This window comes from Homo sapiens, chromosome 15, assembly GCF_000001405.40.
Source record: "Homo sapiens chromosome 15, GRCh38.p14 Primary Assembly".
NCBI lineage: Eukaryota > Metazoa > Chordata > Mammalia > Primates > Hominidae > Homo > Homo sapiens.
The window spans coordinates 51,370,008-51,383,491 of record NC_000015.10 but is presented as its reverse complement, the minus strand read 5'-3'; the positions used below and the strand labels follow the sequence as shown (position 1 = coordinate 51,383,491).

At 44.0% G+C, this 13,484-nt stretch overlaps 1 protein-coding gene across 11 annotated transcripts in view; it reads right to left on the bottom strand.

Moving 5' to 3' along the window:
* Positions 1–13,484, bottom strand: part of GLDN (gliomedin) — a 71,711-nt gene that overhangs the window by 29,874 nt on the left and 28,353 nt on the right. For 6 of the 11 annotated variants that reach the window (XM_017022125.1, NM_181789.4, XM_017022126.3 and 3 more), the window contains exons 2-3: positions 5,992–6,043; positions 39–56 (exon numbers count right to left, since the gene is read on the bottom strand). In XM_017022125.1, the coding sequence (XP_016877614.1) occupies positions 39–56; positions 5,992–6,043 (70 nt within the window). Of the gene's footprint in view, positions 1–38; positions 57–5,991; positions 6,044–6,139; positions 6,232–13,484 lie in introns of those variants that run through there. The other 5 variants (XM_047432431.1, NM_001330297.2, XM_047432433.1 and 2 more) reach the window with 5 other exon arrangements.

The following is a 13,484-nucleotide window of genomic DNA, read 5'->3' as shown; positions in this document are numbered from 1 at the left end:
CAGCCTCCCCTTGAACTAGAAAATCCATGGGCTCTTACCTGGTGGTCCAGAAGGTCCTACAACGGAAAAAAAATTTAGTTGAGAAACCAGCACCGAACCCAGAAAACAAAGAGCACCCCCGACCTTCAAATCTCCTAATTATCTACTGACCCTAAGCAATGGATTTGACACCTTGTATTTAGAACTCGTTATATTTGGCCAAAAGACCCTTTAAAGCAATTCAACAAAGACCCATTTGCCAATCAAACCACTTTTGCTTGTTTCAATGAACCAAGATTAATTTCTGAGCTGTCCTCACTCTAGATTGATAAATTAGTCATCTCTCAAGCAGTCAACCTAATAAACGGAGGGCCAGTAACAATGCTGGTGGCCATGAGTGCAGCCCTAGCATGGGGGTTAGCAAATGATGGTGCTGTCATTGTGGGGCTGAGATTTGGCCGTCCCAGGAGTTCTCCAAGTGCTGTAATCTAGCTAGCTTGTCTCATCTGAGCCACTGGGGGGAGTCGGGAGTGAAAGCTGGCTGGCTAGATTTCTCTTTTGTTACATGAAATAGCCTGAGAAAAATTGAGAGCCCAGATCAGGTAACAAATACCTTCCTTAGCATGTAATTACTCAAGGATCTAAGGGGTTCACATGAATTTTGCTCCCACAAATAGGGGTGTCTTATTGTCGACTATTCTATTTGAGTACTCAGACAAGCTAATGAGGTTGTAACATGAGCACTTGAGTTCCTTTTGTTTCTTTTCTTTTCTTTTTTTTTTTTTTGGAGACAGAGTCTTGCTCTGTCACCCAGGCTGGAGTGCAGTGGCACCATCTCGGCTCACTGCAAGCTCCGCCTCCTGGGTTCATGCCATTCTCCTGCCTCAGCCTCCCGAGTAGCTGGGACTACAGGCACCCGCCACCACGCCCGGCTAATTTTTTTTTTTTTATGTATTTTTAGTAGAGACAGGGTTTCACTGTGTTAGCCAAGATAGCCTCGATCTCCTGAACTCGTGATCTGCCCGCCTCTTTAGACCACATATAATGATTACCAATATTGGAATGGTGAGGTCTTTCCATAAATCTAAGCCTGTGACCATTCACAAAACAAGCATTGCTAAGCAGTTATTATGTGCATCAAACTCCACCAAGAAATCTTGGTGCCTGTATCCTGTTGTGTTCACAGTCTACGTGGGAAAGATGGACTCTTTGAAACCATAATGCAGTATGAGAGAGCTACAGTGAAGTCTCCACTCCCATACCCCTGACAAGGGGTACTGGGGAAGTGTGGGCATGCAGTGGTCTGAGAAGGCATCTCAAGAAGATGATCCTGGAGCCACGACATTGAAGAAACGGGGCTTAAGATGGCAGCAGATGAGGTCTGGCATTCCATGAAGGGGCCACCAGGAGTAAAGGTACAGAGGTGGGGACTTATAAGATTCAGGGTGGGAGGAAGTTAGAGGACTGGCCAAGTGTGTAGAGATGAGGCTGAAGAAGGACCTGGGTATGGTGGGTGGCAGAAGCACTTGAATGTCAAACCAGGAGGTGTAGATGGTATCTGTGAGGCAGGAGGGAGCCATGGGAGGTTCTTAGGCAGGGGGATGATGCTGTGAAAGCAGTGTGGGTTTGATAGCCTCTTTGTCGTTGGTAGATGGATAGAACTAGGTGCAACAAGACGAGAGAGACAGTGACACAGAGACAGGAAGAGAGACATGGAGGATGGGCATTGCAGAAAAAAAAAAAACCCTAGGGGATCTTTGTAGCTGTCAACTCAGTGACAAGCTTGTGGATAAATGAGCTGACTGTAGAATTGTAGAGAAAGCTAGACATTCAAGAGGTATTTCAGCAGAATGAGCAAGAATCCACATCTGATTGGGTAGGAGGCAAAGGAGGAGGACATTCAGATAACAGGGGGCCTGCAATACAGATGGATAGAGGCTATTTTGACAGGCGTGGGGACTTTTGGGAGAAATAGGTGTTTGAGGATATGCTTTCAATACATAACAGTCCTACTCTGGGCAAAAATGGCTGGCTAAAATGGTACCACATTCTCTAGGGTCAGTACAGCCTGTGTCTCCATGACTTTACCACCAGATGGCGAACACGTACTGGGAAGGGGGTGAGGTGGCCAGTTAACAGAGGTCAGAGGAAATCAATTAATCATCGTTCGCGACGACAGAGGGAGCCAAATTCGGATATAGAGACTGGTGGAAAGAATAATTTGACTGTAAGACACAAGACTTGCCTGTACACAGTAGGTTTCAAAAGTTCTCACGACAGTCTGATAACCACGTCCATGCATCAGTACTGTTGGTGAGAGCTCCCGGCTGAAGCTGTATATTCAGGACACGTTAGCCGTGGCCAAGGCTCTCACTGTGGTGATTAGATTAGGGTGTCCTGCAAGAGTTCCACTGATGCCCTATGGATAGAGTTCCTCTCATATGAATCCACAGAATCGCCTGCAATGCCTAGTAAATGCAGATACCCAGGCCCCATCTGGGGTTCCTAATTCAGTTTGGATTTAGAGTGAGGCCCAATAATCTGCATTTTTATCCGAGCATCATAGATGACTGGAATGGAGGTGGTCATGGGCCCTCTGATGTGGTGTGAAAATTTTCTGGGAAAAGAATCAGTCACCATCAGCAGATCCTTAGAGGGGTTCTTGATCCTAAAAAGGTCCAGAGCTGCTAGTCTTAAGGCAAGAGTAAAAAGTCTAGGCTAGAATTGGGGATGGAAGAGCGGGAGGGCCACACCCCACCTGGGGAGAGGCAAGTGAGAGAAGAGGCACCAGGAAAGAGAGAGTTGTCAGAAGACACTTGGAGGAGGAAATCCAGCAGGTCTAATTCCCCGCAGCTAGATGAGGAGAGAATTTCAGAAGAGAAAGGAAGACAGCCCCAGAGAGCTCAGCAGTCCGGGCAGACATAAAATGTGCTGAGGCATAGGGAGTTATGGTGATGGCGGGATGTCCTCCGTCCTCTCAGAATGCCAGCCTGGCTCTCCAGGGGCCTGACATCTGGAAGAGCTCCCACATGTGTCAAATAATGTCAAATGCCATGATGTGTGCCAACTGGGTGTTTAGAAAACTGTTTCTCAGCTCCTGACCCTTCTCCCTTTCTTGAATAGCACATCCTCAAGGAATATGTGCAGACATCCATGATCATGCTAATAGTGCATGCAGGGCTGGTGTCCTGGGCCTACCACCCATGCAGGTGCATAGGGTTTCACCTCACAAGGGGGCTTCAGGTGTGGGCTTAATGCTCTGCAGTCGCCGTCTAGAAATTCCCAGTGATCTTGTCTTTGAATTTGTGTAAGTGAAGTCCAATGGGTCAATAAAGTATGCACAGGGGGCTTGGTGGGGTCCCAACTCCCACCACCTTCCTAGGAACTGCCACCTGCTCCCTTGCCCCATGATGTGTCCTCTGTACTCCTTGCCCCATCAGTAACTTCTGCCACCTTCCACTCTGGTAGGGGCTGGGGCACAAGTGCAGGAAAGGTGGGGCTGAGTGGTGCCCTGCGTGCCTGAGTCACAGGGAAGGATCCCTGGTGCCTGTGAGGGTCTGTACTTGCCCCATAAGTATTCTATGCTTCATGGAGTATGACATTAGGTAGCAGATAAAAACTCACACCAAAACAGGTCAAGACTGTGGAAGAAAGAAGAAAGCCTTTTTCCTGCTTCTTTTGGACAAGAAACCCTGCATTTTCATTTTGCACTGGGCCCTGCAAATTATGTAGCTCATGCTAACTGTACCCATCCCACACTCCTAACCAGAATCGATTAAAATTGGGTGGATGCTTGATAAGAGCTGAGCCACTTAGATATTTTTTCCCTTGAAATCTAAAATTGGCTCACAATGCCCCAGTTATGTAAACTTGAGGTCTGTGATGGCCATGAACACCAAAAACAAATCAGTCTGCAGAGAGAAGTGCCAGTTCCAGTCAATTAGTGCTGGCTTTCTGGAACAGCAGAAAAGAATGCTATGAGGCTGTGCTCAGCAGCATTGATCCGTGATTGATATTTGCCTAGGCATAGAATAAGAGACTAGAGACACGTATCATAACTGGATTAGGGTCACTTGGCTGCAAGGAGAATGTGTAGTGCTTCTGCCCCAATACGCAGTTCAGTAACATGATGATTTAGATATTTTCTAACAGATACACACGAAGAGGATGCAGTGAGTGAAGAATAACCCAATAACATGGCTTCTTCAAGATGCCTGCTCTCCCAGAAGATATGCTTCTGGGTCCCCAAGGAAATCTGGGCTCCAGAGTAAGATGCATTCAGAAAAGCATGTGTTGTTTGACAAACTCTGTACTAGCAGAATAACTAATTACTCTAGCTAGGGGATTACCCTCACGATCCAACTGAGATGTTAAAGGTTGCACAGAATCACATAGCATCTGTCCTGACTGCCGTAGCAGCAACAGCTGGGCAAGGAAGAGGAATGGGAGCCAGGTTACCTGGTCACAGCTGGACTAGCCTCAAGTTATGAGTGCCTGCTTTTTCAAAGATGAATCCAGTGGGAAGCTAAACCTTGTTCCCAGTCCCCAAGCCCAGGTTCTGCTCTGGCACATCTTCCTGCCAGGCATCCTCTTAGGGCTCGAGACCAATGCTCTGTGTCCACCCTCTGAAGCTACCCAGTTCATTCCTGGGTCCTGTCACTCACCTTGCTGCCCACTACCCTGCCCCCAATCCAGGCCTCGTGGTCTATCCCAAAGGATCCTCTCACTTTGCAACTTGTACTTTTCACATCTAATTTTAATTGAAGAACTTTCTGTGCAAAAGGAGGCCCAATTTCAAGCTGGCATGAAAGGAGAAGGTGCTGTCTTTTGAAAAGCACTTCAAAGTGCTAAAGAAAAACCTACTCAACCCACTTCCAGTGCAGACGTCGTTCCCCACTCTCTGCCAATCTCTCCTAAGTGGTCTCAATAGCTCCGTCCCATGCATTCACTGTACAGCCTGGCTCTCAGGTCTATATTAAAAAAATCAAAAAGGAAGAGGCTTTTCCTGTGCCTCTCAACAGGCTTTTGTGCCTGTAATTCCATCCATCCATTTCTCTAGCACTCATTACTGTCGCATGTAACTCTGAAAAAGGACTTCAAGAGATGGAAGAAAGATGCTTAAGCTACAAGAGTTTCAGAGTAAAGGACCAAGCTGTTCTGAAGATCTTTAATTTTCAGTGAGGGCCGGAATATGACTTGAGTTATTCAATTAGCATTTCCCAAGAAGTCACAGAATTATAGTTTTTCTCTCTGAGGCCAAAATAAGTGAAAGAGAGTCAGACTTGGATGTGGGGTTCCTGAGGGGAGTTTCTTTCTTACCATCTCACCTCCATTCACATACCCATATACTCACAGGTTTATTCACTCAGCAAACTCACATTGCACTCCTAATGCAAGGCAGGTAATGAGAGGGAGGTGGGGGAAATATTGGGGAAAAAGGCTAGGCTTCCTACAACCTGATGCAAACTGTGCAGGGTTCCTTAACCCTGAGAAGCTCTAGCCCGGCCTCCCCAGAGACTGGGACCATCAACTGAGAGATCCAGCAAAAGCTTCAGGTGGCTTCAAGGTCTCATGGTAATGTTTTAAAGTCAGAGGGGACTGCTCTAGCACTCCGCAACATCTAGTTTGGGCCACCACACCTGGCCAATCTGGCCAATAAGTACTTCTGATAAAAGAACTGTATTAATTAGCAAGGTCTTTTCCCTTCCTTTCTTTCCCCTTTTAAAAACTAATGGGAATAAGAAAATAATCTGTGGCTCTGGTTCAAGGTACCACACGTTTCTAATTACCCAAGTCCTAGTTATTTTCCATGGCTATATTTCTATGGCAATACTGAAAATATTATTTTTCATAATCATATTACAATGGGTTTTCAGCTCATTAAAAACATCTGGTAAAAGTAAACCAACATGTATTTTTATAACAAAGTGTCCCTAGGCGTTCATTCTGCCACGGGCCTTCAGCGGCACAAGTCCTTGTTGTGTGAGCGGCTCTGCTCAGCGGCCAGCCTACCTGTGAGGCAGATGCCCTTGGTGCTGTTGCACAGGTCCACCATCACTCGGATCTGCAGGGGAGAGAGGGTCATCAGAGCAGACAGTGGGCAGCAGGCCCTGGGCTCATCCTTTATTCAGACGAGCAGAAAGCAATCATAAAAAGTCACCAAGTAACTTTAGGAGAACCCGCGGAAGTTCAAGGAAAACGCAGTGATGTCCCACCTAGTGATGCTGCAGTCAACAACGAATCATACACAATGGTGATTTCATAAGATTACAATGGAGCTGCAAACCTCATTTGTCCAGTCACGGGGTAGTGTCTTGGTGCAATGCATGACTTCGTGTTTGTGGTGATGCTGGTATAAACAAACCTACCACACTGCAGATTGTAAAAAGCATAGCACGTACAATTATGTATAGTACATAATAATTGATAATAAATGACTATTACTGCTTTGTGCATTTACTATGTTATCCTTTTTAAAATCTTTTTAAAAAGTTTCCAGCTGACATCTTGACATCACCATATTTTGTATTGTTATTATAGACTGTACTCCTTCTACTTAGAAGAAAAAAGTTAACTGTAAAACAGCCTTAGGCAGGTCTTCAGGAGGTATTCCAGAGGAAGGCACTGTTGTCACAGCTCCATGCATGTTATTGCCCCTGGAGACCCTCCAATAGGACAAGATGTGGAGATGGAACACAGTGATATTGATGATCCTGACCCTGTGTAGGCCTAGGCTAATGTGTGAGTTTGTGTCTTCATTTTTAACAAAAAAGCTTAAAAAGTAAACAAACAAAAAACACCAAATTTTAAAAATAGGAAAAAGCTTACATAATAAGGATATAAAGTATTTTTGTAGATCTGTACAATGTGTTTGTGTTGTGTTATTACAAGTCAAAAAGTAAAAGACATTAAAATTTTATAAAGTAAACATGTCACAGTAAGCTAAGGTTAATTTGTTGAAGAAAGAAAATATTTTAAAATAAATTTGGTGTAGCCTAAGTGTACAGTGTTTATAGAGTCTACAGTGGTGTACAGTCATGTCCTGGGCCTCCACATTCACTCACCACTCACTCACTGACTCACCCAGAGCTACCCCAGTTCTGTAGCTCCATTCATGGTAAGTGTCCTATACAGGTGAGCCATTTTAAATCTTTTATACTGTTGTTTTATGGTACCTTTCCTATGTTTAGATACACAAATATTTACCACTGTGTTACAGTTGCCTACAGCATTCAGTACTGTAACATGTTGTACAGGTTTGTAGCCTAGGAGCAATAGGCTTTTCCACATAGCTGAGGTGTGTTGTAGGCTATGGCATCTAGTTTCCTGCAAGTACACACCATGATGTTTACACAACAAAATTGCCTAATGACGTATTTCTTAGAATGTATCCATGTGGTTACATGACATATGACTGTAGTTAACATAACACTTGAAAGAAACCCTTAAAAGATCTAAGAATATTCGCTATCAGCAGCTTATCTATCAACATCATCAAGAGAATTTCCTTGAATTTCTATGGAATTCTGACAGAGGATGACGAGGGAATTGCCAAATCCAACTTTCACCACCATAATGAGCCAGCCCCCACAGCATCTGAAGGGCTCAATTTTTGGGCCTGAATAAAAGGGGTGGTGAGCCTAGTGGTTGGGAGGAAGCACCTATTAACTGGGTGAACACAGATGAAGTACTTAACCTCTTGGAACTCTGATCTCCTCCTCTGAATAATATAAGCACCTGGCCTTGAGGAATGCACCTGCTCAGTCCCTGGCACGTGGAAACTGCCCCTGGGTGGCAGTGATTCTCATGCCATGTGGACACTCCCCACTGGATGACCACCTGTGGCAGGTGGTCACTGCAGCATGGCATTAGCCTGACGTTTTCAAAACCAATGGGAATAAGGAAAACATCTGGCTGCCTCACACCCACCGTATACCCCTTCCCATTCTCCACACTGCTCCAGCGAGCTTCAGAAAAAACAAATCTGACTGTGCTAAATTCATAGGCTGCTACTGAAAGATCTCTAAGATAAATGAAAAAATGCAAATATAGAGCAGCACATATAACATACTTTTGTTCATGTAAAACAGTGCTGCACACAGAAATGCTTCTATGTGTTTGTCTCTTGCTGCTTTTAAGATAATCTCTTTATCTTTCCAGAATATTTGTGTAGATTTAGAAAACCTCAAGTGAGGGGAAAATGGAGGGCCAGGGTGGAAGGGAGCTGTACTAAACATGATACAATCATTGTCTTTTTCAAAAATTTCACTGATTACTCTTTCCATTAAACTATTTTTCAAAATGCCATGTTTTGATGTGAGGGGAAAATAATTTTTGTATTGTATCTAGATTTATTCTGTTAGGAGATCCAGAGGAAAACTTATATTGTATTTACTTTTTGTCAAGTATGTCAACAGCTATTTATTGCCTGCTTTAGAAACTTATTGTGAAATATTCATACATATCACACATGTAGAAAATGTGGGCCTGGTGTGGTGGATCATGTCTGTAATCCCAGTGCTTTGGTAGGCCAAGGTGGGAAGATTGATTTCAGCCCAACCAGCCTGGGTAACATAGTAAGACCCTTTCTCCATGAAAAAATTAAAAATTAGCTGGATATAGTGGCATGCATATATAATCCCAGCTACTTAGGAGGCTGAGGTGGGAGGATTGTTTGAACCCTGGAGGCTGAGGCTGCAGTGAACAGTGATCCCACCACTGCACTCCAGCCTGGGTGACAGAGCAACACCCTGTCTCAAAAAAAAAAAAAAAAAAAGGAAAAGAAAGAAAAGAAATGTGTACAGATAATTTAACGATGAATAATATGACAAACACATATATATGAAATGAAATGGAAGTTTACCAATGCCTTGGAAGACTTCTGGATGTCCCCTCACCCCCAATAGCTCTCTGAGTTGGAGTACACTTATCCATTTAATTCAGATAAGAAAATAGAGGCTTAGAGAGATGCCATCATTTACTCAAAATCACACAGCTTGCTGGTAGAAGAAATGGGACTGAACTCCAGGTTTCCTGATTCCAGGTCCACTCTACTTTCTATTATGGCTCTGGTGATTATCTTAACATCACCAGACAGAAAAAAAATTGATTCACTGCCTTTAGTCATTTTCATAAATGAATGTAATCAGCTGCACTAGGAACAAAATTTATTGTCTTAAAAAATGTGTAATTGCCCATTGAGAGGACCAGAAAAGACTTCACAATGGCTTCATTTGTTGCCTGGGGGATCACAGCAGAAGGGGTGGTTGGAAACAACAGAAGCAACAATAGGGAAAATTAGCCTTTCTGTTTGGTACTAATCACTGATCTGGGGCAGGTGCAGCTTCTGTAAAAACTATGAAGCAGTTTTCATTTCCTGACCTTTTGATTTCATTTGTATGCTAAATGTCAATTGAGATATTTACCAGTAAATTATGTTAATCTTTACTCAAGAATAGTCTTTTAACGAAATTGGGCTGTGTATATAAGATTGTATTGAGATGAAATATATGATATGAAAAGGTGTGGCCATAAAGTTAGAAACTTTTTTCTGGTCATAATGATTAAAAATTGGAATCAAAATAAGAAAACTCCCAATTGAAAGTCACAAAATCTAGATGGTCAAATTAAGGAGTCATATTTTGCATTAAGGGCCTCTTAAGTCTTGAGGGAGGTCTTGAGAAGGTTGAAGCTGGAAGAGTCCTTAGAGGTCATTGTCCTGGGGGTACTAGGCATGACCCATCCATGTTGTGGCCCTGCCCCCGCACCTTGTAGGGCATCTCCCAGTGCTCTCCCCCTCCCTGCCCATCACTGTCACTCTGCTCCAGTCGCACTGGCCTCGTCGCTGGTCTTGGCCTTGCCTAGCGTGCTGTGCCACACATCTTTACATGGTGAGCTTCACTGATGCCTCAAGTCAGGCTTTCCTGTCTCTCAACTGAAGGGAGCCCAGACAGCCACTCCCCATCACCTCATCTGGCCTTTTGTCTTTGTAGCACTTATCATTATTCAGTACAGTTGACCTTGAATGATACAGGTTTGCACTGTGTGGGTCCACTTGTACACGAACTTTTATCAGTAAATATAGTCAGTTATCCATATACACAGGTTCTGCATCCGCAACCAAACATGGATTGAAAATACAGTATTTGAGGGATGCGAAACTCTCAGAAATGGGTGGCTGACTTTTCATATACTTGGGTTCCACAAGACCAGCGTCAGGAACTTGAGTGTGTGCGGATTTTGGTATTCACAGGTGTCCTGGACCCAATCCCCCACAGATACTGAGGAATGACTGTATTATCTTGCTTACATATTTATTACCTACTCCTGCTCCCCAGAGAAAGGAAGCATTTTGAGAGCAGAAAAACTTCTTTGTTTTGTCTGCATCTCCTGTACTATGATTTGAATATGTCCTCCCAAATGCATGTGTTGGAAACATAATCCCCAACATAACAGTGTTGGGAGGTGGGGCCTAAAGGAGGACATTTAGGTCTGCAGAACTCCACCCTCATGAATGAATTAATGCTGATTATAAGGGGGCTTGAGTTCACTCTCTTGCCCTTTTGTCTTCTGCTGTGGAATGATGCAGGAAGAAGGCCCTCACTAGATTCTGGTACCTCAATCTTGGACTTCCCAGCCTCCAGAATTATGAGAAATAAATTTCTGCTCATTATAAATTACCCTATCTGTGGTTTTCCATTATAGCAGCACAAAAGAGACTAAGGTACCCTGTGTCTAGAATAGTGCCCGGTCCCAGGCCTGGAACTTCTCTGCTGAGAAGTGGTTCAAGTGGGAAAGCACATCAACCGTCTCTAAGGAAGAGTTTCTCTGAGAGAAGATGACAATAAATTGCTAATCAGTTCATGATATGAGAATCTGGTGGTGCTGGGGAGAGGGTGGGTGAAGCACAGGAAAAAGTCCAACCCAGCCACGCTAGCATGGAGGACAGACTTAGTGGGAACGATGGGCTGTCAACCTGAGTGCAAAATAATAAGCAGTAGCCCCGAGAGCTCAGGATGAATGCCCTGTTGGCTGTAAGCATCACTGAGGAGTGAGAATTATCTCCCAGAAGAAACAATGGGGCCCATCAGGTTCATCTCCCAGGTGGGAAGATCAATGCAGCAACGGACAGGGACATATTACATTGCATGGCGACTTGTTTTCAGCATTGAACGTTTGGTAGCTGCTATGGTTTGAGTGTCCCTTCCAAAACTCATGTTGAAACTTGATCCTGAATGTGGCAGTATTGAGAAAGGGGGCCTTTTAAGAGGTTATTGGATCATGAGGGCTCTGCCCTCAAGAATGGATTAATCCATTCATGGATTAATGGGTTATCATGGTAGTGGAACTGGTGGCTTCATGTGAAGAGGAAGAGAGTCCTGAGTGAGCACACTTCAATCCCTTGCTATGTGATGCTCTGTCTCACTTGGGACTCTTCAGAGAATCCTCACCAACAAGAAGGCTGTCACGAGATGCAGCCCATCAACCCTAGACTTCTCAGTCTCTATCACTGTAAAAGATAAATTCCTGGCCAGGCGCGGCGGCTCATGCCTATAGTCCCAACACTTTGGGAGGCCAGGGTGGGTGGATCACCTGAGGTCAGGAGTTCAAGACCAGCCTGGCCAATATGGGGAAACCTTGTCTCTACTAAAAATAGAAAAAAATTAGCTGGGTATTGTGCCATGCTTCTGTAATCCCAGCTACTTGGGAGGCTGAGGCAGGAGACTCGCTTGAACCCATGAGGCAGAGGTTGCAGTGAGCTGAGATCGAGCCACTGCACTCCAGCCTGGGTGACAGAGTGAGACTCCATCTTGAAAAAAAAATTCTTTTCTTATAAATTATCCAGTTTCAGGTATTCTGTTATAATAAACAGAAAGTGGACTAATACAATAGCGTTAGGGGAAAAGATAGCCCAAATGGGCCCTACTGGCAGCCTGACCAGCTTTTCCAGTTTTTTTCTCTGAAAAGGGAACTATTCTCATTGGATTAGCAGAACTCTTGGGGATCTTGGCCAAGGAAGAGGCCCCAGGAGAAAAAGAACAGACTTCTTGCTGACCTGGCATCAGATGGCTTGAGCTTGTTTTAATTCAAACTAAACAGAGATGGGACATAACTTGGCAGTATCTGTTAAAAAGAAAATGCTACAAATTAGGAATCCCACTTGGAAGAGTATACAAGGATATCTGGACAAAAATGCTCAATGCAACACTGTGTGGCAGAACATGCAAAGGTTTGTCAATAAGGGTCTTGTTGAACAAATTTTAAAGGATGACATAGATCTATATGTACTATTGGAAAGACAGCCTTGGCATGGTGTTAAGTGACGAAAGCAAAATGCAGCCCAAGCCACATAATGCAACACAACTTTTTGGTTGATAAATAATCCCTAGATGTTTTTGTATAAGTACACAAAAAAGCTGGGAGGTTCATGAAACCAAACAACTGATATTCTTCCCCCTAGAGACTGAGACTAGGGAATAAGAAGGGGATAGGTTTTTTTTTTTAATTTTTTATTTTTTGAGATGGAGTCTCACTCTGTTGCCCATGCTGGAATGCAGTGGCACCAACTTGATTTACTGCAACCTCCGGCTTGAGGCAGATTCAAGCAATTCTCCTGCCTCAGCCTTCCAAGTAGCTAGGACTATAGGTGCACACCACCACACCCAGCTAATTTTTGTATTTTTAGTAGAGATGAGATTTCACCATGTTGGCCAGGCTGGTCTGGAACTCCTGACCTCAGGTGATCTGCCCACCTCAGCCTCCCAAAGTGCTGGGATTACAGGCGTGAGCCACTGTACCTGGCAGATTTTTTTTTCTCACTTTTTAATTGAGATGGTTGTAAAGGTATGTTGGAATAATAAGTGATTTTTTTTTTTTTACTTTTCTGTGTTTTTAGTAATCCAGAGAGAATGGAAAGCATGTTAGTGTTGTGTGAACCCAAACATCATGTTCTCACGATTACCCCCATCACTTGAAATTACTTGGACAGATCTCTGTTGTTTCTAGGCAAATGAACAGAATGAACTAGAACTCTTGTAAAGTCCAGTGATTTTCAAATTGTTCATTAGCCATAAGACTTTTATTTTCCTTATATAAGCACCAAATCCCAAAATATAAAGCAAATAAAAATGGAGCTGCCCTGGGTAAACAGGTGGGGTTGACCTTAGTTATTTGTCTGTAAAATGAGAGGGTTGGACATGACAGATGATTTTCAGACTCTGATCCCATCAGAGGATGCTGGGTAAGAGGTGGTGAGAAACACTCAGAGGATGTGGGGAGGAGGGATGAGAAAGCTGATGCCCAAAGAAGGCAGGGAGTAGCTGGTTTAGGCTCACCTAGCTTGCTTCCAGAGCTGAGACTATTTCCCCTTCATCTACTTTCTTTTTTATTCTTTTTTGGAGACAGTGGCTTGCTCTGTCACTGAGGCTGGAGTGCAGTGACATGAACATGGCTCACTACAGCTTTAACCTCCCAGGCTCAGGAGATCCTCCTGCCTCAGCCTCCCA